General features: G+C 42.3%; 3 long non-coding RNA genes across 10 annotated transcripts in view; 1 reads left to right on the top strand and 2 right to left on the bottom strand.

Moving 5' to 3' along the window:
* Positions 1 to 12,791, bottom strand: part of LOC107986182 (uncharacterized) — a 103,624-nt gene extending 90,833 nt beyond the window's left edge. For 2 of the 4 annotated variants that reach the window (XR_001741382.2, XR_007058056.1), the window contains exons 1-3: positions 9,933 to 12,791; positions 8,265 to 8,322; positions 7,207 to 7,303 (exon numbers count right to left, since the gene is read on the bottom strand). This is a non-coding gene — a long non-coding RNA (uncharacterized LOC107986182). Of the gene's footprint in view, positions 1 to 7,206; positions 7,304 to 8,264; positions 8,323 to 9,932 lie in introns of those variants that run through there. The other 2 variants (XR_001741384.2, XR_007058057.1) reach the window with 2 other exon arrangements.
* The window catches only part of LINC01182 (long intergenic non-protein coding RNA 1182), a 276,050-nt gene that overhangs the window by 85,563 nt on the left and 168,417 nt on the right, over positions 1 to 22,070 (bottom strand). Inside the window, exon 3 of the long non-coding RNA NR_121681.1 lies at positions 15,819 to 15,886. This is a non-coding gene — a long non-coding RNA (long intergenic non-protein coding RNA 1182). The remainder of the gene's footprint in view (positions 1 to 15,818; positions 15,887 to 22,070) is intronic.
* The window catches only part of LOC101929048 (uncharacterized), a 74,973-nt gene continuing 57,663 nt past the window's right edge, over positions 4,761 to 22,070 (top strand). For all 5 annotated transcript variants that reach the window (XR_925415.3, XR_001741387.2, XR_925418.3 and 2 more), the window contains exons 1-2: positions 4,761 to 4,905; positions 6,076 to 6,232. This is a non-coding gene — a long non-coding RNA (uncharacterized LOC101929048). The remainder of the gene's footprint in view (positions 4,906 to 6,075; positions 6,233 to 22,070) is intronic.

The following is a 22,070-nucleotide window of genomic DNA, read 5'->3' as shown; positions in this document are numbered from 1 at the left end:
AAAAAGCCCACCTACAGCCTATTTTCCCAGGTCAAAGTCAAGCTCTACTCCTCCTCATTCTTATTCCCAAAGCCCCCTGGCCATCAGACCCTGTCAGTTCCCAAGACTGATCCCAAAGGCCACATGGATGTCTGCAGCAGGGGCTCAGCCAGGACAAAGGGTCTGACTTTGTCCCATTACTCTTTTTCTGCCACACCACAGAATCCCTTGACTAATGTCAATGTGAAGACAAAGGTCAAGAAAGAACAAAGGGGACTCCAACTAGCCCTGAATCAAGTCATGATATTAAAAACTGCAAATGCAAAGTAGCTAGCTAGGCAATGGCCTACTGATTTATGGAGAGACCAGAAAACTGGGATATTAATTAGGATCATTTTGTTCCTTAATAATGAGTTTCAATTGACTTATAACCAGTTATAAGCTTACTGTCTTTCGCTCTGCATTGTTAATTGTACTTATTCATTTTTACAGTTGCTAAATTATAAGATATGCCATAGTTGTGAAAGAAAAGAAAGGATTTATGTGTGTTGTATGCTAGGCTGTGCAGGAGAAAGTGAAATTTAAAGTGTTAAAAATGTTCATGAGAAAGTCAATGTGATTCTCTCCAACTCACAGTTCCCAGAGCAGGGAGAAAGCCAGGGCAGCCTCTCCACTCTGCAGCTATTACCACTGAGATTCAATTTGCTGCACAGGTCTCCTGAAGTAGTTTATTATTCTGGGATTGGGCCAAAATTTGTTTCACAACAACCTTCCAAGAGTCCCAAGCCTTCTTAGCTACCCAAACTATATTATGAGAGAACTGTCTTCAAAGACCAAAATGATCACTGTCATCATCATCATAATTATTTCTCTCCACATGAGAAAAGTTACTTAACGACCTTGAGCCTCCATTTTCTGGTTTGTGACATATAAATTTGCTTCTACCTGCATAACACAAAGCCTCCCACACAGAAAGTACTTAATTCATGTTAGCTGCTAGTGGCATTTATCAAGTAGGATGTCAAGCCAAAAATTGCCCAAATTCAAATCTTCTACCGGACTTAAGGACCTCCCATTATAGTCCAGTTTCTGTCTTCCAGGCAAGCATCTTCTATTTGGCTTAGAAAAGGAGTTTAAAACAACCAAGGATCTTACTCCTCAGACACAATTCTCCTCACTACATACAGGAAAGCCTTGCCTTTTCAGCCCCAGGAGAGCATAGATGACCTCTCTGATAATTGTAGTGTTATACGCATATATACACAGCATTCATACACATAGACAGTAACATCAGGGAAAAGTTGTCTTAGCAGCTCAGCTAAATCTCCTTTGTGAAAGGCTCTGAATTTTTGCTTTAGAAGAAATTGCAGATCAGATATTTCAGCTAAAGCATGAGGCCCCAAGGATCATGCACAATTAAAAATAGATGCTTGCTGTGCTGCCTTCAAAAGAAAATAGGCTTTTTAAAAATAGAAAAACAGAAAAAGAGAGAGAAGAAAGGAAGAAAGGAGGGAGGGAGGGAAGGAGGGAGGGAGAGAGATGGGAATGGAGGAAGGGAGGGAGAAAGGGAAGGAAGGAAGGAAGCAAGGAAGGAAGGAAGGAAGGAAGGAAATGAGGAAGAGAGGAAGGAAGGAAGGGAAATTTTTCTAGATGGGGGAATTTTGTTTTGTTGAACTGCTCGTTCTTGGCTCTGGAAATCTGGAAACACAATATGAGAAGGCTCTGCTTAATAAAGAATTGAAGAATTTGCAGTTCTCCCAAAGAAAACCCAGGAAGCAGAGGGATTGAGGCTTTGCTCTAGTTGGAGAAGAGAGAGAAGGGAATCCCACAGGCAATGGGCATTCAGTGAATGACACCTCTTCTAACATTTAGATTCAAACTAGTAGAGTCACTGCTTCCATCTGCCTGCAACTTGCTACAGAGTGGGTAAAAACGTAGACCTAAGGAACTAAATGGAATCTACAAAATTTTAACAGAGAGGTTACATTCAAGTAAGTTTTTAGTGAGATCTTTTCATAGCTTAAGTGGCAATGTATAAGCTAACACTACAGTCATTCATCCAGTCCAAGATGCATGTTTTTCACATTTTGATGTCTCTACAGTTCAGATTCACCTTGCAACTGATAATGAGTTAATATTAATTGGCAATGCCTTATTTTTATTTTCTTTCTTGGAGGCCAGGAGAAGAATGTTATGTCTTATATATGGCCTCTCAGAATCTATGAATATGGCAGCTCTGTATTAGTCCATTTTCACACTACTGTAAAGAAATACCCAAGGCTCAGTAATTTATAAAGGAAAGACTCACAGGCTGCAAACTTTCTAAAATTTTATGTTCTGCTTCCCTTTTAAACATAAGTTCCAATTTCAGATCATCATTTTCAAGTTCAAAGTTCCACAGATCTCTAGGGTGGGGGCAAAATGGCGCCAGTATCTGCTAGAGCATAGCAACAGCGACTTATGCTCCAGTTCCCAAGAAGTTTTTCATCTCCATCTGAGACCCCCTCAGCTTGGACTTCATTGTCCACATCACTATCAGCATTTTGATCAAAACCATTCAACAAGTCTCCAGGAAGTTCCAAACTTTCCCACATCTTCTGCCTTCCTCTGAGACCTGCAAACTGTTCTAACCTCTGCTCATTAACCAGTTCCAAAGTTGCTTCCACATTTTCAGGTTATCTTTATAGAAGTGCCCCTCTCCCGGTATAAATTCACTGTATTAGTCCATTTTCACACTGCAATTATGAAATGCCTGAGACTAGGTAATTCATAAAGGAAAGAGGTTTAACTAACTCACAATTCCACATGGCTGGAGAAGCCTTGGGAAACTTACAATCATGGCGGAAGGAGAAACAGTCACCTTCTTCACAAGGTGGCAGGAGAGAGAAGAGAGAGAAGGAGGAACTTCCAAACACAAAAAACCATCAGCTCTTATGAGAACTCACACCATCATGAGAACAGCATGGGGGAAACCGCCCCTATAATCCAGTCGCCTCCCTCCTTCAACAGGCGGGGATTACAATTTGAGATAAGATTTGGGTGGAGTCACAGAGCCAAAGCATAACATACTCCAACAGATGTGCCAATGACTTTAACGCTTCAGACTATGTTTCACAAATACTGGAACTATCACAGTCCTCAGGTTGAAATGTCAGACTACAAGCCAGCAAAAACAGACCCAGGTTTATTTTTTTAATTGGTATCTCTGAGAGTTCAGAAAGTCCTTATCTAACCTCCGACATGCGGTAGAGCACAGAGAAGAGTCCAATTTAATTTTCCTGATACCTTTTTCATAAGCTGATGACCCAGCTAACCATGTGCTTTGATTAACTCACTGGGTCATAAATATCTTGAATCCTTCCACCCTCATCACCACAGAGAAGGCAATTCAGAGCACTCCACCTCTGTAAACAAATTTTTTTAAAGAAAATATATTTATTTGGAAATAAAGCAATTCAATGGGAATACATATGCCATGCTAAAGCATGTGTGTTTTAGGGAGATAAAGGAAGACAAAGGTTTTAAAAGAAAAAAAAATGCAGCATAATCATTTTGAAATAATTATCCATGGCTACAGAGAGAAATAACAAGGTTGATGCCAGTCCAGGGTTGAACAGGCAGTTATTGGGCAGATGTCCTTGTAGAAGTAGTTTTAGTGTAAGGCTGTGATGCCCTGTGTTTAAGGTTGTGATTTTTGCATTCTTTTTTAAATTCTAACTTTTACTTTAGATTCAGAGGGTACATGTACAGGTTTGTTACATGGATAAATTACATGTCACTGGGGTTTGTTATACAGATTATTTCATTATCCAGATAATAAGCATAGAAACTAATAGGTAGTTTTCTGATCCTCACCTTCCTCCCATTTTCCACCTTCAAGTAAGCCACAGTATCTACCGTTCCCCTCTTTGTGTCTATGTGTACTCAGTGTTTAGCTCCCACTTACAAGCAAGGACATGTGATATTTGGTTTTCTGTTTCTGCATTAATTTTCTTAGGATAATGGCCTCCAGCTTCATCCATATTGCTGCAAAAAAATGTGATTTTAATGTTTTTTATGGCTGAGTATACTTTCAGTCCAATTAGATTATTTCCTTTCTGCAAGAATCATTGTCCATTTTTAACATTCAGTTGAGTCTAGGAAACTTGCATAATTTTTATTCCACATTTTTCTTCTTGAAAAAAAGACTTGGACTTTCTAATTCCATCTTAGCCTAGTGGATAGAGTAAATACTCCGGAAATAAAAAGTGCCAGACAAGGGTCTTTAGTAGAATGAGGAGCATGGCACAGAGAGAACCTTCTTCAATGATGCTACAAATCTTCAGTAAAAACTCCCATGTGCGCTCCCGCACACACAAACACACAAACACACACACTCTTACTTATTTGGATTTCTTGTTAAAGATTATTATTTTGTAGCTAGATAATAATGGAACAAAACAGTCAGTGTGTGTGGTGGAGAGAACTGATTGTATCTGTAATGCATGAGCGTTAACTAGAGTCATTCATGTACAAAGGTTAAAAACGATGTGGTATACAGGCAAAGGAGGATATGTGCATTTTCACTGGATCTTGTTGTTTGGGCACCTGAGACAAGCTGGCAGTCACTAAATCTCAGCGATCACTCAATGTGTGCCAGGCATTCGCACACAATATCACTAACACCCATGACAGTCCTTCAAGAGAGGTTCTGCTGTCTGAGAGATTATGTGACACGCCTAAGGTCACAGGATCAGCAAATACTAGGGCTGAGATTTAAACCCAGAACTGTCTACTGCCAAAGCTTTTGCGCTCTCCCTCGTGCCACGTTGCTTCTCATTTTGGGCTTGGTCTCCACTTCCCAGTCCTTGAAGGAGTTCTCCAGGTCTGCCCCATTAGCACTGCATCTCAGAAGGAAGCTGCAGCTGCGCCGCCAATCTCCCGGTGGTGAGTAACCTTCCTGCTTTGCATCTAACCTTGTGTTCTCCATTGAGTGCTGACAGGTAGCAGTAGTCCTTCCTTTCTGAAAATGTCACTGAGCCATCTTCACAGAGAAAAGGCAGCGCTGACATTCTACTTTTCCTGTGACTGCCTGGAGAATGTTTAATCCCCATGACCTTGTGGCTATTTAACAAGAGCCAATCCTCAGACCTTGTCAGTCAGTGACAGCCAGCATTTTGTTTAATGGGCCCGAGGGTGGGCTTGGTTTGCAGTGGGGAAGGGTAACATCTGGTTGGAGTTTAAAAGGCAAATGGGGTTTCTCAGTGATTATTATTCATCAACAGTACTCAGATGCATGTTTTCCCTGTGTTTCTGTTTATAATCAAAAACAAATCCCAAACACAGATATTTAAAATCTACATTGTTTTTATGACAACCTAGCATGATGCCTCCTTCTGACTGACTTGGAGGATACCCCCCACCCTTGTTTGAATTTTCTGACACCAACAATTGAGTATTAAAGTATTATTTAGAATTATTGAAGCATAACATCTATGGACATTAATAGTTACCAGTTACTAAGCCAATGCTGACTTTGGTGATTTATTTATATTACCCAATTGTATCCTTCTAATAACTCTCCATATATAAAATTATGTCCATTTCACAGATGAAAAAATTAAAACTAAGTCAGAGACTCAGGACTTGAGCTGTTCTGAGAACTGTCTGTCATCCATCTATCATGAGATTAGCGTAGAAATTGAGAGTGTTTAAGAACTTTTATAGGTGTTTAACCCTGCCATGATAACCAAGCAATATTAGATTTCTCTAGTAATTTGTTTTTACTGTATTTTACAAAAGTTTCAATCCACAATGGTTTGGAATTAGAAAACAATTTTCCCTTTATCAAAGATGGTTTTAGAAGCTCTGTTCCAATAAAACCCTCCCTCTGGAATAATAGTCCAAGGTGTGGGGAAAAATAATTCAAATGATTCTAACTTGCCATTTAATGATTAGCTGTTCTTCACCCAAGTGGCTTGGCTTCTGGAGCGGCTGGTGGAGCCCAGACATCTATATTATTTAAAGCTCTACCAAAGATGTAAGCTCCATGAGGGTAGTGTTTGGGGTCTGTCTTGTTCACTGACGCATCCTGAGTCGAACTGTGTCTGGTTCTAGGTAGGTGCTTAATAAACATTATGAAGTGCATGAACAAATGAATAGCCCCTGATGGACAGACATGCTTGAGAAACACTATTTTTCACATTCCTATCTACACTCAAGATTTTACCTATGATAGCAGGCTGAAGATTCCCAGGATCTTACATCCTAGCAGGTAAGACAAACAATTAACCAACAGAATGATTAAGGTCACAGACATGCTAAGGAAGAATTGAAGCCAGATGTGATAAGCAAAATAACACCTCCATCCCTAAAGATGTCCATGTCTTCATACCTAGAACCTCTGAATATGTCAGGTTATGCAGCAAAGGAGAAATAAGGTTGAAGCTGGAATTAAGGTTGCTAATCAGCTGACCCTAAGATAGAGAGATTATTCTGGGTTGGCTGGGTGGGCCCATGATAGTCACAAGTGTGCTTAAAAGTGAAGGAAGGAGGCAGAAGAGGAGAGTCCAAGGACAAAGTGACTACAGAGGAATGGTCGGAGATACAATTTTGCTGGCTTAGAAGGCGGAGGAAGGGGCCATGAGCCAAGGATACAGGCAACCTCTAGAAGCTGGGAAGGGCAAGGAAATGAAATGTCCTTTATGAAAAGTAATGCAGCCCTGTAACACCTTGATTTTAGCCCACTGAGACATATGTTGGATTTCTAACATACAGAACTGAAGACAGTAAATGTATGTGTGTGTGTGTGCGTGCATGCGTGTGTTTCCTGAGTCAGGGTCTTGCTCTGTCACCCAGGCTGGAATGCATTGGCACGATCTGGCTCATTGAAGCCTCAAACTTCTGGGCTCCAGAGATCCTCCTGCCTCAGCTACTCTGGCTATTTTTTTTTTTTAATTTGTGTTTTTTAGAAATGGAGTCTCTCTATGTTGCCCAGGTTGATGTTGAACTCCTGGCCTTAAACGAAGCTCCCACCTCAGCCTCCCATGTTGCTGGGATTACAGGCATGAGCCATCACATCCAGCTAAGTCTGCATTGTTTTCAGCCACCATGTGAGTATCACTTTGTTACAGGAGTAATAGAAAACCAATGCACTGAGTGATGATATTGATTGTAAGCAGGGAAGGTCCCTTTAGAGGTCTCACAAAATGTAACAGTGTAATGAAATGCGAAAAAGCAAGAACTAACCTTAAAAGAGCTGAGAGAAGATTCCAGAAGAAGAAAGAGCTGGTATTGAGTTCCAGAGGGAGGACACTCCTTGGCAAAGGAGACCCAAGTGGCTGAGCTGGTGGAGCAAGAAACAGAGAGAGAAAAGATGAGATGGAGCTGGAGAGGTTGGCAGAGGTCCTCTGCAGGACTGGGAGGTCATGGCAGGAGGACTGGAGTTTATTTTAAGAGCAATAGATGGCTATAGAATAGAGCAGAAGGGTGATAGGTTGTTTTTCACTTTCTTAATGATATCCTTAGAGGCACACAATTTTTAATTTTGATAAAGTAAAACTTAAAAATCTTATCCTTCATCACTTGCAGTTTTAGTGTCATATCTAAGAAATCATTGCCAAACCCTAGACCACACCGTTTTACTCTGGCATTTCCTTCTATGAGTTCAACAGTTTTAGCCCTTACATTTAGGTCTATGATCTACCTTGAGTTAATGTTTGTGTATGGCATGAGGCAGGGATCCAATTTCATTCTTTTGCATGTGGATATGCAGTCGTCCCAGCACCATTTGTTGAAGGGATAAGTAACATTTTATTGCAATAAAGACAGACTCAGTAATAATGCTATGCTGAGCCATGTTGATGCCCAAGGCAAAAGAAAAAAATCAGTAACATAGTGTTTTGTAAATATTAAAGATACAAATTCTTTCTAATTTGGTCTTGAAGTCTCTCCCTGGAGAGTGGCTATAAACTCTAGCCCTGCCCTGACGACAGGGCTCCAGGGAAGGCAGTTTCTGGATGTTTACAGCATGCCTTTCAAGGGATACATCTTTATCCTGGTAGACTGCCTAATGCCTAAGTGTCCGGCCATGGCCAGGTGTTCCCCATACAGAAAACTTGCTTTTATTCACAGATGTCCCTGTGGCTCTTGTCTAAGCTGTGTTTAGTTTATTCCTACCAAGATAGCCACTCCATAGGAGAGCCCTGACCAGGAAAGAAGTTAGGCTCATGTTTGTCTGTCAGGGGAGACACAGGAGGAGGCAGCACAACACCGAGCATGAAATAACAGACATATTTATTACTTACAGATTCCACAGTGCAGGGGGCAGTATGCCTCCCAGGGTCACTGGAAAGGGGGAAGCCACTGAGGACACGTGCATTCAGCCAGCAGGTGGGGAGCAAGAGAGAGAGAAGGGGACCTGTAAGCCAAATTCTTTATTGGGTCCTGGGAGTTACTCAAGCAGGTTTCCTGTGGGGAGGTCTAACTGGTGGTACAAGCAGGCATTAGTTTCATGGGGGTCACGCTGTGACTAAGAGGTGGCCACTGTGGCACACCTGCACAGTCCATGTGGGGTGTGGAGGTCAGTGGGGCTAATTAGGTCAGTTGTATCTGGCTGTCTCATGGAGAGGTAACTATCACGAGTTATATAAGCCAGAGAGCTGAACTGACCACCTTAAGGAACTAGGAGGAGTTGTAAAACTGGATACTGCACCAAGGGTGACTAAGCCTGCTTCTGGTATGAGAAAGTTAAAGTTATATTCAAAATGGATACTGAAGCAACATGAAATTATAAGAATTCACTCAATACTATTTATCTTAAAATTTTATTTTTTTTTCACTGTGGGTTTTTGCATTAATTTTGTTTAAAATATTGCATTTAATATTACTTATCCTAGTTACTGAGACCTTGAAGCCCTTTTACATTTTGTGCCTAAAATAGGCCTTATTCACCTCACTCTAGTTAATGTCCTACAAAGTCCCTAGCTCAGCTTACCATGCCTTCCACACCCTAAACCCTGCCTGCCCCTCCATCTGCCTCTCACCCCCCATTCCTCAACTGTTATCACTAATAATACAGATTAGTTCATGTTTCCTTGCACACATCATGCTATGTCAAGTGTCTGTCATTTTGATCTTGCTCACCACTTGACTTGGAATCACTTATCTTTAATATCTTGCTCTTTCCCATCCTACAAGATCAGGTGTTAACTCCTCCAGAAAGCTTTCCTTGCGCCTCCGGGTGGGTTGGCGCTCCTCACCCAGGCTCCCACAGTGCCCTCCTCACCCATTGTGCTCCCATAATTATTATAGAATAATAACATAATAACATAGCATGTATTACCCTGTAAAATAATTATTTATTATTTGTCTTCTCTCCTTCTGGACTGCAGCACTTTGTCCCTTATGTCAAACTGTATCTTACCCACTTGAACATTCTCATGTCCTAGCACAGTGCCTAGAATATGACAGATAAGTAATAGATATTTGTTTAACAGTTAATCTAGCTAGAAGTACAGCAAGGAGAAGCCAATCCAATCTGCCTAAAGTGAACAGAGAAGGTTCCTCATGGAATCTCCCTGGTAGGAGGACACAAGTTAAGCATCTGGCACAGAACGCTTCCCTGCTAAAAAGGTGAGACATCCCAGAGAACAGAGGCTGTGCCTGAGGCAAGAGCTCCTTGTCTGGACTCCGAGGATGGAAGCAAAGACTTACAAGACCTCATTAGAGAGTCAGCCCCATAGACAGAAGGATAATTTAGAAATTTAATAACTGGATCTGGCCTACAAGTGAAGCAGAGAAGTGGCTACTTCCAAGGAGTGAAACAGTGAGCAAAATTAAGGGAAAATTCCCACTGAGCTCACTTCATTTATTCATTCATTCATTCACTAGTCATTTCATAAACATTTATGGAGCATCTTTTGGGGGTACTGGGATAGGCCCTGGAATACAGGGATCAAAGATCATCTCCTTACCCAAAGAAATCCATGGCCAAGTCAACTGCTGCAAACCTACTATGTGTGGGATGGGAAACCAAAAAATACAGGTATTAACAACAAAGTCTAGCCTTCAGTGTTTTTACTGGATTATTCTATTTGCCTATCCAAATCCACTCTCTATCTTTGTCCACCCTGCTATTCCCTGGGGAAGCTGAACCTGAACCACACTCTTGGGCTCCCTTGACCACTGACTACCAACTGCACATGGCCAGTGTTGTGCATCAGCAGGAGATTGGAAGGAGAGAAGTGAGTGAGGGTGTGGCATTTATTACTATTGCCGTGGGGTTTCCATGGGCCAGTTCTGTTGAAAGCCAGGAATCCTATGTTTCTTCCGCATAGCCCCCGCAGTCTTCTGGCTCTCTTTCCCCTCTCTCCACTCTTTCAGGCCTACAATAGCACCTAGATTTCATAGTCCTCTGGCATTTGACTATTCTTCGTGGTTTCCCTAAGCCCTGCTCCCAGCTTTGTAAGTAGTCCTTTATTAAATTCATTTCACATTATCCAAGTGTAAGTGTGCCATCTGTTTCTTGCTGGGACCTTGACTGACACAACAAGCTCCTAAGGGAGATGTGACAAGAACATCAATAAACGGGGGATGGAAGGAGGAATCCCCTTGGACATGTGAATGAATATATATGGCCACCCACTGGGAAAGGAGGCCATGAGAAAAAGTCAAAGCCAAACACGTTGGGATTATTTGCCTTTATGCCCAGGAAGCTGGAACAGAGCAGGGAGCTGGTCGAAGGTACCCGAGAATCCATCCCTGAAGGATAGCAGATTTGGAGGGTAAGGAAAGATTTCTTTCTACCTGAGAAGTGCCTAGGAGACAGTGACTCTGAGTTTTCTTGGGGTAGACAGCAATGAAGGCTTAATAAGCAGACCCCCCAGACTGGTCTCCTCTCCCCTTGCCACTGTGGGACCTTGAGGCAAAGGGAGGAGCAGACTGATGCACCTCGAGTGCTATAGAGAAAGGGAAACAAGACTGTTTCCTGAGTTGCAGAATATGTCAAAAAATAAGAGGACAAAACCACACTCTGTCAAGTCACCTTAAAGACACGAAATAGGTTCTAGGCCTATAAAAGTGCCTGTGGCTTAGCATAGCTAGAGGTTATCTAGATGTTTTCAGTCTGAGAACTTTCACCTGAGGAAGAAGGACACATCAGACTCTTCTAACAGCATTCGAGTCACACTACTCACATCCCTCTTTTCAGTTCCATCCTCCTCAAAACTCCTTAGAGGTATTATTTGGTTCCTCATGTGGTTTTCTTACATGGAAGAAGAACCATATGTATGCTGATCAGGTTTAAGGTACCTAACAAGTAGAATTCATGCTGAAAATCAATACTTTCGGCATCTGCAGTCTCCTAAAAGCATTGTTAGTGAGAGTCAGCCTCCCCAAGTCCAGGAAACTCAAACACTTTGAAAATCTAAACCCACAAAGCCAAGGTCAAAATCCTGGCTTGGGTGAAGTCATGAATATCAGTGCTGCCTGGAGGCTCCTTGGAAGCCCACCATCCACCAGCCTGGGACACACACAGACACACTGGTACTTTGATGAGCCCTGCTGCCCACTAAAGTGCTGATTTGTTAGAACAGCCATTGTACCAGGTCTCTCTCATCCCTTTCTTGAACAATGGATTGCTCTTCCAAACTTTTTTCTTTTTTTTTCTTTGACTTTTAATTTTAATTTTAATTCTTTAGTTGACACAGATCTTATATATATTTATTGTGTACAGCATGTTGTTTGAAATAAGCAGGCTTTCTGAAATGGCTAAATAGTGCTAATTAACATATGCATTACTTCACATACTTATCATTTTTGGGGGTGAGATACCTTGATCTGTTTTCAATTTCATAGCCTGGCATTGGCTCATTGTTCTATTTGACTGATTCTGCCTGTCACTGTATCTACCACCTCTGTCAGATTAGAGTAATCCACAAATTTGGTAAGCAGGCGTGACCTAAGTGACTGATAAAAATGTTAAATATACAACCTGAGGATTCTTCAATCCCATCCTGGCTTCTCTCCTTTTAAAACTTTGGTCTGTCCTTTTCAGAACTACATGCAGCATGACAAGTGTGGTCTAGCCTGTGCATGGCAAAGCATGCCTCTCACCTCGTTGAAATTCTCTGCTCCTGCAGGCTGAGATCAAAATAACTCCCTTACACATTATGGCTGATATTACTGAAGTGCTTCTGTCATTTTTATCCTGAAGATACTAAGTCACATCAGTGCATCTTGTTAGTTTTCTTTTGGACTCGGGTGTAACATGTTCTGTTCCTGTTCAGTTTCAGTTTTGCCTCATTATGCTTAGACCATTGCTGCAGCCTGTTAAGATCTATTAGGATCCTGTGCAGACCAGACTCAACCTCTCATCACTCGACTTGTGCCTAACTCTCTAGTACCATCCCATCCCCACTTCTGTCTCTACACTTTATTTCTAGCAATAGTAATTGCTTCAGGGCCTCCCCAATGTCTTCTAGACTGTGTGTAGGATACAATCTCTCCCACACAGAAAAAGTCTCAGACTAACACAAAGATCCACATCTCAAACTCCGACCCATTCCACTCCATGCAACAGAAGGTAAAAGGATATGGGAGATCTCTGAGTCATGTGACCAGGAGGCTGGGGTCTAGTCCTGTCTTCACCCTTAAAAGGCTCTTGTCTGTCCTGTGAGCAGGCATAGGGTACAGCAGTCTGAGGATACACCAGGGTCTTTCTGCCCCTCTCTAGCTGGAGCAGAGGCTGCTCTTGCTTCCCAATATCCATTCTCTCATTCTTTTCTGCTCGTAAGAACAGACCCCAGTATTTAGAACAGCACATATAAACCCCTGAAATGATGGCATTGCCAGCTGCTTTATAGCCAGGAGTGGTCAAGAGATAAAGTTTTGGCCAATGAAGTGGGAAAAGTCATGTGTGACTGACTTTCAGGAGGGTCTTAAAGGGGAGGGAATAAATGATCTTTGTCCTCATCCACTTGCGCCTGCTGTCTGCCTGGAATGTGAATGTGATGACAGGCTTTCCAGCAGACATCGTAGGACCATGCAGTAAACTTGAGGTTAGAAACTGGTCTGATGATTCTGGAGGAGAAAGATTGAAGCATGGTCTCGGAAACACCATGCCAAGCCTAGACTGCCTTTACGCCAACTTCTTTTATGGGAGAAGGGAAGTAAGCTTTTACACATTTAACACACCTTTCAGAAGCCACTTTCTTCTATATTTATGATGTTATCTCTAGCTGCTTAACTCTGGAAAAGCCTCCTATTCTCTAACCCTATTTATCCAACTGCAAAATGAAACTAACAATATAACAGGAAGGGGAAAAAGATCATATGTCAAGCATTGACAAGACACTAGGAATATGAAGGCAAAAAGATAAAGGCAATTCAGTCTGCAGATTTTATGTGATGATCACCTCTCATTGCTCACTCACTATTTCTTTCTTTCTTTCAACAAGTATTTATAAAGCCTCAACAGAGATGACAGTTCTGAAGGGACTAGGGTTGCCATATTTAGTAAGTAAAAATACAGGGACAACAAATCTTTTTTTTTTTAGCATAAGTATGCCCTGTGCAATATTTTTTTATTAAAAAGATAATTGTTGTTTATCTGAAATTCAAGTTTAACTGGTTGTCCTGTATTTTATCTAATGACCCTACCTGGGGCTACCATGGTGAATAACACTGAAAAAAGCCCATCCTGCAAGGAGCTGTCTTCCAGTGGAGGGGATGGTGCACAAACCATGAAGCTCAATATCAGAACTGAATGTAGGGATAAGTGGCATGAAGGAAATAAAACCACTACAGTGTGACAGGAAGGTGACTCTTCAAGATTGTCAGGGAAGTCCCGTGAGGATGTAACATTTCCCCAGATGCCTGGACATTGAAATGGAACTAGCCAAGCCAGGGGAGGACCAGTCCAGCCTCAGGGGCCAACGAGAGCAAAGGCCCTCATGTGGGAACATGTTTGGGATGTTCTAGAATCCCAAGGCCAGTGGGGTTAATGTTAAGTGGAGAGAGGTGTGCTGGAGCCCAGTCATGTAAGGCCCATAGGTGATTTTTTTTTAAAAGAGGCCATGGATTCTATTTTAAGAGTAAGTAGCAGCCATCAGAGGGTTAAGAAGGGAAGAATATCGTCCAATTTATTTATTATTGTTTATTTTTTAAAGAAGGTCTTGATTGCTTGGTGGGGATGAGACAGGGTTGGAGAAGTAAAGGCAGCTGCAGGAGAATGAGTAAGGGGCTTTTCAACAGCACAGCTGAACTGACAGAGGCTTCAGCTGGAGAGCTGCAGAAGACCTGGTGAGAAGGATCCCACGGGCTATGTGTTTGGGAGTAGGGCAGACAGGACCAGTGAAGAGATTCACTGTGGAGGCTGCAGGAGAGAAGCGAATCAAATATGATGTGCAGGGCTGGGTCCTGAGTAACTGAGTAAAAAGTTCTCATTTACTGAGATGGAGACACTATTCCTAGGGCAGGTTTGTGGACAGCATGGGGCAGAATATTAAGGAGCTTGTCTTGGCCAGATTCCTTAGATTAGATAGTCAAATGGAGATGTTAACAATTAAAAGTTGCTTTTATTATCCCTAATTTACAGAAGAGGAAACTGAGGTCTCGCAGGTTAGAAAAGCAGGACTCATAACAAAACCTGTCCAGACCCAGCTTGCTTCCCCAGACCACACTATTATAAACCTCCCTGCTGCAGACGCGAAACAAGCACCAAATGAGATCATAGACTTTTAAATTATAATGATTATTAACGTGGGACAGTGTCTGGAGACAGGCAGGGCATGGAACCTACAGGATCTAGGGAGCAGGTAAAATGTGCTCGGCTCTGCTTTGGAGCTGAGTCCTCCGCACGCCAGGGTCAGTTACATTTCCACAGACAAGCTGTTCCACAGCCAGACTTCACGCCATCCCCTCTGAATCATTTAAATTGCCTTTGCTAAATAATTTACCTCCATGTAGACAAAAGGGTTCCACAGGCTCCCCAAACATTGTGGGACTGGTGCATAATTTACAAAGCATTGCTTAGCCGCCCCGTGCAGGGAGAACAACAGGGCTTGGACACCTGCCAGAGCCAAGGAGGGCACCAACTGGAAAGGAGGCAAAACACAGCTCCATCAAACAGAGGCAAAGGCACCTACTGACACCTGGATTCTCAAGGCCAAAAGCAAGACAGGAAAATGTGAGGGTCAAACTGCCTCTGGGCACAGGCTGAAGCCAGTGAGGGAGGGGCACGTAGCTAGCATGCGTGCTGGAAGTCTGAGGAAAATATCATCAATGCTACACTCTTCCTGATTACCAATATCCTGAGACCTAATTAATTATGTCCTTTAAAAAAGCAGCATTGCCTCTGGTAAGAAGCATGTTTAGCAAATACCTGAGCATTTTAACACAGGCAAGAACGATGTGGAATTCAGACAGGAAGGGCAATTTTCTGTGCCTGGAATGCCTTCCTCCACATCCCTTATGCACTTGACAAATTCCTGCTCCTTTTTCCAGAGCTGTCCTCAAGGGTTACCTCCTCCAGGAAGCCTACCTCACTCCCAGAGGCAGACCAAGGCTTCCTTCTCATCGTGAACTATGTTTTATCTCTCATTTCATTGTATAATAAATGTTGTTTTCCTCCCCTGGACTCAGGTCCTTGGTAACAGAGTTTCTTTAAATCTGTAGTCACAGTACATGATTCAGTGGTAGCACATTCTGTATTCATTGTAGAATGAAGGATGAAACAAACAAGACATGCACCATAACTTACAAGATATTTTCCCCAGCATTGCATGTAGTATTGTTGCTTTAAGCATAAAAATTCATATCCCAAGAGAATGGCAAAGTGTGTATAAAATAAGCAAACATACCAGAAGTTGCTCAGCATCTTCAAGAGTCGTTCTGCCCCTTGCTCCATGTCTTAGCCCATTTTCTGTTGCTGTAACAGAATATCACAGATTAGGTAACTTATAAAGAAAGGAATTTTATTCATCTCACAGTTCTGGAGGCTGGGAGTTCCAAGAGCATGATGCTGGCATCTGGTGAGAGCCTTCTTGCTGTGTCATAACATGGCAGAGGGTATCACATGGCGAGAGGGCAAGAGCACACATGCCAGCTCAGGTCTCTCTCCCTCTCTTATGAAGCTGTTGTTCTCATAGTGGAGGCTCCACCCTGACAACTTTATCTAATCCTAATTACCTTGCAAAGACCCCATCTCCAACTGACATACGGATTTGGGAATTGAGTTTCCAACACAAGAAATTTGGGAAACATATTTAAACTATAGTGCTCCACTTGGACTAATACTTCCCATTTCTAACCACCTGTCAGCTTCAGCTCTTTGAGTTTGGCATCTAATTCATTTTACAATGCCTGACTCTTAATAGGATGATTGGGTTCTTGAATCAGACAGATATATTTTTTTTGGAAGTTTCCAGCCATGCCACTTAGAAGCTGTGTGGCCTCAGTTTAGTAAGTTAACCTCTCTGATCTTCAGCTTCCTTACTTATAAAACAGGCACAGTAGAAGTATAGAGGTATTAATAATGCCTACCTCATTGTAATGTTGTGAATATTAAATGAGATCAGTGTATATAAATATCTTAGTGCAGTGCCTAGAACTTAGTGATCATTGAATGAATGTTAGCTATTACTACTGTTTTCACTTTACTACAAGATGTATTGTCCATTCTGTCACTGCACCTGCTTTCTATGTTCTCTACCAGTACACACACCTTCAGTTCAGCCCTGGACTTGCTGCCATGTATCCAATACCCCATGATCAGACCCAGAACACATTTGGCAATCATAGGTTCTCTTCTTGTGATTATAACAAATTTCCTCTTCCTGGATGCTTCTCAAGATCAAGAGTAAAAATCTGAGTTATCTTAAGCTATGTTTGGGTTGTCAGTCTGTGCTGCTTTGAATATAACTCCCCCAAAATACTGCCTCATATAAAGCCCCAGCTTATATTAGGGTTACTTGTGTTTGAGCCTAAAGATACAATGGCAGTTAGAATTTAAATGGCATTTACTATGTGCTTGGTACTTTTTAAAAGTCATTTATATTTAGTACTTAAAACCGAAGAGGTACCAGTATATCTTCATTTTGCTTATGAGAAATTGAGGCACAGAGAGGTATCGTATGAGGGTGGGAGTGTGTCACACTCTGCTCAGGAGGGCTTGCTAGTCAGAGCTGTAAACTAAGTTTACATCCTTGGGAGAAGAAAAACTTTGTCCATTCTAAAGGGTCTGACTTTTCCCAGTTTTAGACATCAAGGAAGAGGCAGGTTCTGTTATAGAAAACCCAGCCTTGTAAGGCAAGGATTAGATGGGCAGGACCAAGGAATGGTCATCATTCTCTGAGCCCACTCTCTTTAGTTAAGATTTTAATGCATCTGAACATATTGAAAAAGAAGGTGGCAGAAAACTGGCCCTTGACTCAAGATAGCTTTTAGACTTAGGGCAGGGTAGGGAGATAGGTTGTAGGAAAATTGAGACTACTGTTAGGTAGCAGGTATCCCATACAATAAAATGTCAAGTGGTACCCTCTAGAGTTAATTCGCTTCTGTTATCTGGGAGCCCTGTTAATCATTCTTTCATGCCTTGGTTGTACCATGGGGAATAAAGGAGTGGATTTAGGTTCACCTTGGACACTTGTGTGAAAATAAGATCTGCAGTCTCTGGAACCAGCTTTGTTGGATGCAAAGAGAAAGTGTGTCTCAGGGATAAGAAAGAACTCCCTGCTAACCATGGGGAGCTTCTCCATCTATTGCTAGCCAAGGTGGATGAAGATTTGATTTCATTAAATCACCCGGCACATTTCTTTACCTGCCCATAGGTGAGTGAGTCCATAGGAGAGTGAAAATGGAGGCCATTTCCAGCCAAACCTGGAGGCTTCCGTGGGTCAGACAACTAGGCCCCAAGAGAAGAAAAATAAATAAGTTAAACTCCCTTCATCGGGAAAATAAACATCAAATGGCATGTGATAGTGTGCACTGCATAAGTGAATAAAGGAGGTTTAATTCTTTAATTATTGCCTCTAGTTTCCCCATGGTAACAAAGGGCAAGTTGATGAAGAGAGATAATCAGGGCATAAAATATTGTGTCTCCTTGGTTTATTTCACTTAATAAAATAATAAAAATATTTCTCCTTAAGTTCCCAGTCTTGCTTAAAAAAATGAGACAGTATTTTTATCTAAACTCATTTCAAAACAGATCCATAAAGATTTACTGAGTACCTACTATGACACTGGGTTCAATATGATGGTCTCTGCTCAGAAAGCACAATTCTGACTTCCCCTTGACAGTCCCCACAACTCACATTCACACACTTTTAAGAAATTTCAGGCCAGACATGGTGGCTCACACCTGTAATCCCAGCACTTTGAGAGGCCGAGGTGGGCAGATCACCTGAGGTCAGGAGTTCGAGACCAGCCTGGCCAGCATGGTGAAACTCTGTCTCTACTAAAAATACAAAAATTAGATGGCCATCGTGGTGCATGCCTGTAATCCCAGCTATTCAGGAGGATGGGGCAGGAGAATTGCTTGAACCCAGGAGGCAGAGGTTGCAGTGAGCTGAGATCATGCCACTGCACTTCAGCCTTTCAGTCTGGGTGACAGAGCGAGACTCAGTCTCAAAAAAAAAAAAAAAAAAAAAAAAAAGGGAAAGAAATTTTAGTTATCTAGTGGACTCTTAGAAGATATTTTCGTTTACAACATTCACCATCAAGAGTCTATGACTTCACTAATATTCACCTATATTCCTTTGAAAGATTGTGTCTAGCAATCTTTTGTGTTCATGTTAAGCAAACTATATTTATTAAGAAATACTTTGTTTCCCCATTTTTGTATTTAGAATTTCCAATAGGAATTTCTTTCAAGAAATAACCCATGTGCTTTTACTGAGTTAATAGACTTCCAGCCAAAGTGTCTCCGTTCACTCAATAATCATGAATACAGTAAATACCTGCTATGACCCAGGCATTGTTTGCCATACTTGGGATACAACAGTGAACAAAATTCTAGGTCCTCGTGTAGCATTAATTCTAGTTTAAACATAAAGTCAAAACAAAATTTACCAAGAAAAAGCAAATTACATTGTATATCATGTCATGATTAGTGCTACTGGAAAATGCAATGCAAGGTAAGAGAGGGAGTCATGAGATGTCAGGGGATAGTGGTGATGAATGTGGGGAAGGGAGGCTGTAATTTAAGAGTACTGAGCATAGGTGTATTAGTCCATTTTCACACTGCTGATAAAGATGTACCCGAGACTGGGAAGAAAAAGAGGTTTAATTGGACTTACAGTTCCACATGGCTGGGGAGGCCTCAGAATCATAGCAGGAGGTGAAAGCCACTTCTTACATGGTGGTGGCAAGAGAAAATGAGGAAGATACAAAAGCGGAAACCCCTGATAAAACCATCAGATCTCATGAGACTTATTCACTACCATGAGAACAGTATGGGGGAAACCACCCCCATGCTTCAAATTCTCTCCCACTGGGTCCCTCCCACAACACATGGGAATTAAGGGAGTACAAATCAAGATGAGATTTTGGTGGCAACACAGAGCCAAACCATATAATTCTGCCCCTGGCCCCTCCAAATCTCATGTCCTCACATTTCAAAACCAATTATGCCTTCCCAACAGTCCCTCAAAGTCTTAACTCATTTCAGCATTAATCCAAAAGTTCATAGTCCAAAGTCTCATCTGAGACAAGGCAAGTCCCTTCCACCTATGAGCCTGTAAAATCAAAAGCAAGCTAGTTACTTCCTAGATACAATGGAGATAAAGGATTTGTATAAATACAGCCATTCCAAATGGAAGAAACTGGCCAAAACCAAGTGGTTACAGGGCCCATTTGAGTCCAAAGTCCAGTGGGGCAGACAAATTTTAAAGCTCCAAAATGATCTCCTTTGACTCCAGGTCTTACATCCAGGTCATGCTGATGCAAGAGGTGGGTTCCCATGGTCTTGGGCAGCTCTGCCCCCGGGGCTTTGCAGGATACAGTCTCCCTTCCAGCTGCTTTCATAGGCTGGCATGAGTGTCTGTGGCTTTTCCAGGCAAACAGTACAAGCTGTCAGTGGATCTACCATTCTGGGGTCTGGAAGATGGTGGCCCTCTTCTCACAGCTCTCCTAGGTAGTGCCCCAGTAGGGACTCTGTGTGGGGGCTCTGACCCCACATTTCCCATCTGCACTGCCCTAGCAGAGGTTCTCCATTAGGACCCTACCCCTGCAGCAAACTTCTGCCTGAGCATCCGGGCATGTTCATACATCTTCTGAAATCTAGGAGGAGGTTCCTAAACCCTGCTTCTTGACTTCTGTGGACTTGCAGATTGAACACCATGTGGAAGCTCTCAAACCTTGGGGCTTGCACCCTTTGAAACCACGGCCCGAGCTCCATGTTGACCCCTTTCAGCCATAGCTGGAGTGGGTGGGACATAGGGCACCAAGTCCCTAGGTGCACACAGCATGGGGACCCTGGGCCAGGCCCATGAAACCATTTTCTCATAGATGTCCTGGCCTGTCATGGGAAGGGCTGCCATGAAGACCTCTGACATGCCCTGGAGACATTTTTCCCATTGTCTAGGGGATTAACATTTGGCTCCTCATTACTTATGCAAATTTCTGCAGCTGGCTTGAATTTCTTCTCAGAAAATCGGTTTTTCTTTTCTATCATATTTTCAGGCTGCAAATTTTCTAAACTTTTATGCTCTGCTTCCCTTAAAAAGTTGAATGCTTTTAACAGCACCCAAGTCACCTCTTGAATGCCTTGCTGTTTAGAAATTTCTTCCACCAGATACTCTAAATCATCTCTCTCAAGTTCAAATTTCCACAAATCTCTACATCAGGGGCAAAATGCTGCCAGTCTATTTGCTAAAACATAGCAAGAGTCACCTTTGCTCCAGTTACCAACAAGTGCCTCATCTCCATCTGAGACCACCTCAGCCTGGACCTTATTTTCCATATTGCTATCAGGCTTTTGGTCAAAGCCATTCAACAAGTCTCTAGAAAGTTACAAACTTTTCCACATTTTCCTGTGTTCTTCTGAGCCCTCCAAACTGTCCCAACCTCTGCCTGTTACCCAGTTCCAAAGTTGCTTCCACATTTTCAGGTATCTTTTCTGCAACACCCCCACTCCTGGTACCAATTTACTATATTAGTCTGTTTTCATGTTGCTGATAAAGACGCACATGAGACTGGGAAGAAAAAAGAGGTTTAATTGGACTTGTAGTTCCACATGACTGGGGAGGACTCAGAATCATGATGGGAGGCAAAAGGCACTTTTTACATGGTGGTGGCAGGAGAAAATCAGGAAGATGCAAAAGCAGAAACCCCTGTTAAAACCATCAGATCTCATAAGACTTATTCACTACCATGAGAACAGTATGGGGGAACTATCCCCATGATTCAAATTATCTCCAACTGGGTCCCTCCCACAACACATGGGAATTATGGGAGTACAATTCAAGATAAGATTTGGGTGGGGACACAGAGCCAAACCATATCAATAGGATTCATGGGGTGCTAGTTAAAGGAGGTAAGAGTCATTCATACAATATCATTCTAAGGTAAGCATTCTAAGCAAAGGCTGGAAAACCAAAGCATGCCCAGAGTATCTGAGAAACAGTCACTTAGTGCAGACTGGGCAAAATCCTAGGACAGTCTCAGATGATCCACAAAGGTAGTGGGGCTGAGGAAAAAAAAAGATGGTGCAAGACCATGTATGGTGTTGGAAAGACACTGGCCTTTACCCCCAAGAAAAATGGAGAGCCTTGGAGAATTTTAAACAAAGGAATGATACAACAAAAATCATTTTTCCTAGCCTGTGTACTTTTATTTAGCCTACCCATAAGGTATCCAGAAGGCTTTTTGGAACAATGAAAACACCTGGAGCAGCTTCTAGGACCTCCTCTGGGCTACAGAAAAGGTCTAAGCACCCAGGTTTGGTGCCAATATTCATTTTACAGAGGAGAAAATGGAAAGAAAGAATGGGCAATCGACTGGCCTATGGCCATTGCTGAGTTAGGGACAAGCCCAGGACTGGACACAGGGCTCTTTCTCCCCACAATGTGCCACTAACCAAAGCAATTATGCAAGAAGAAACCAGTCTTGGGTGC

This window comes from Homo sapiens, chromosome 4, assembly GCF_000001405.40.
Source record: "Homo sapiens chromosome 4, GRCh38.p14 Primary Assembly".
Taxonomy (NCBI): domain Eukaryota; kingdom Metazoa; phylum Chordata; class Mammalia; order Primates; family Hominidae; genus Homo; species Homo sapiens.
Note: the sequence above shows the minus strand (reverse complement) of the source record. Positions and strands in the feature narration are given on the sequence as shown.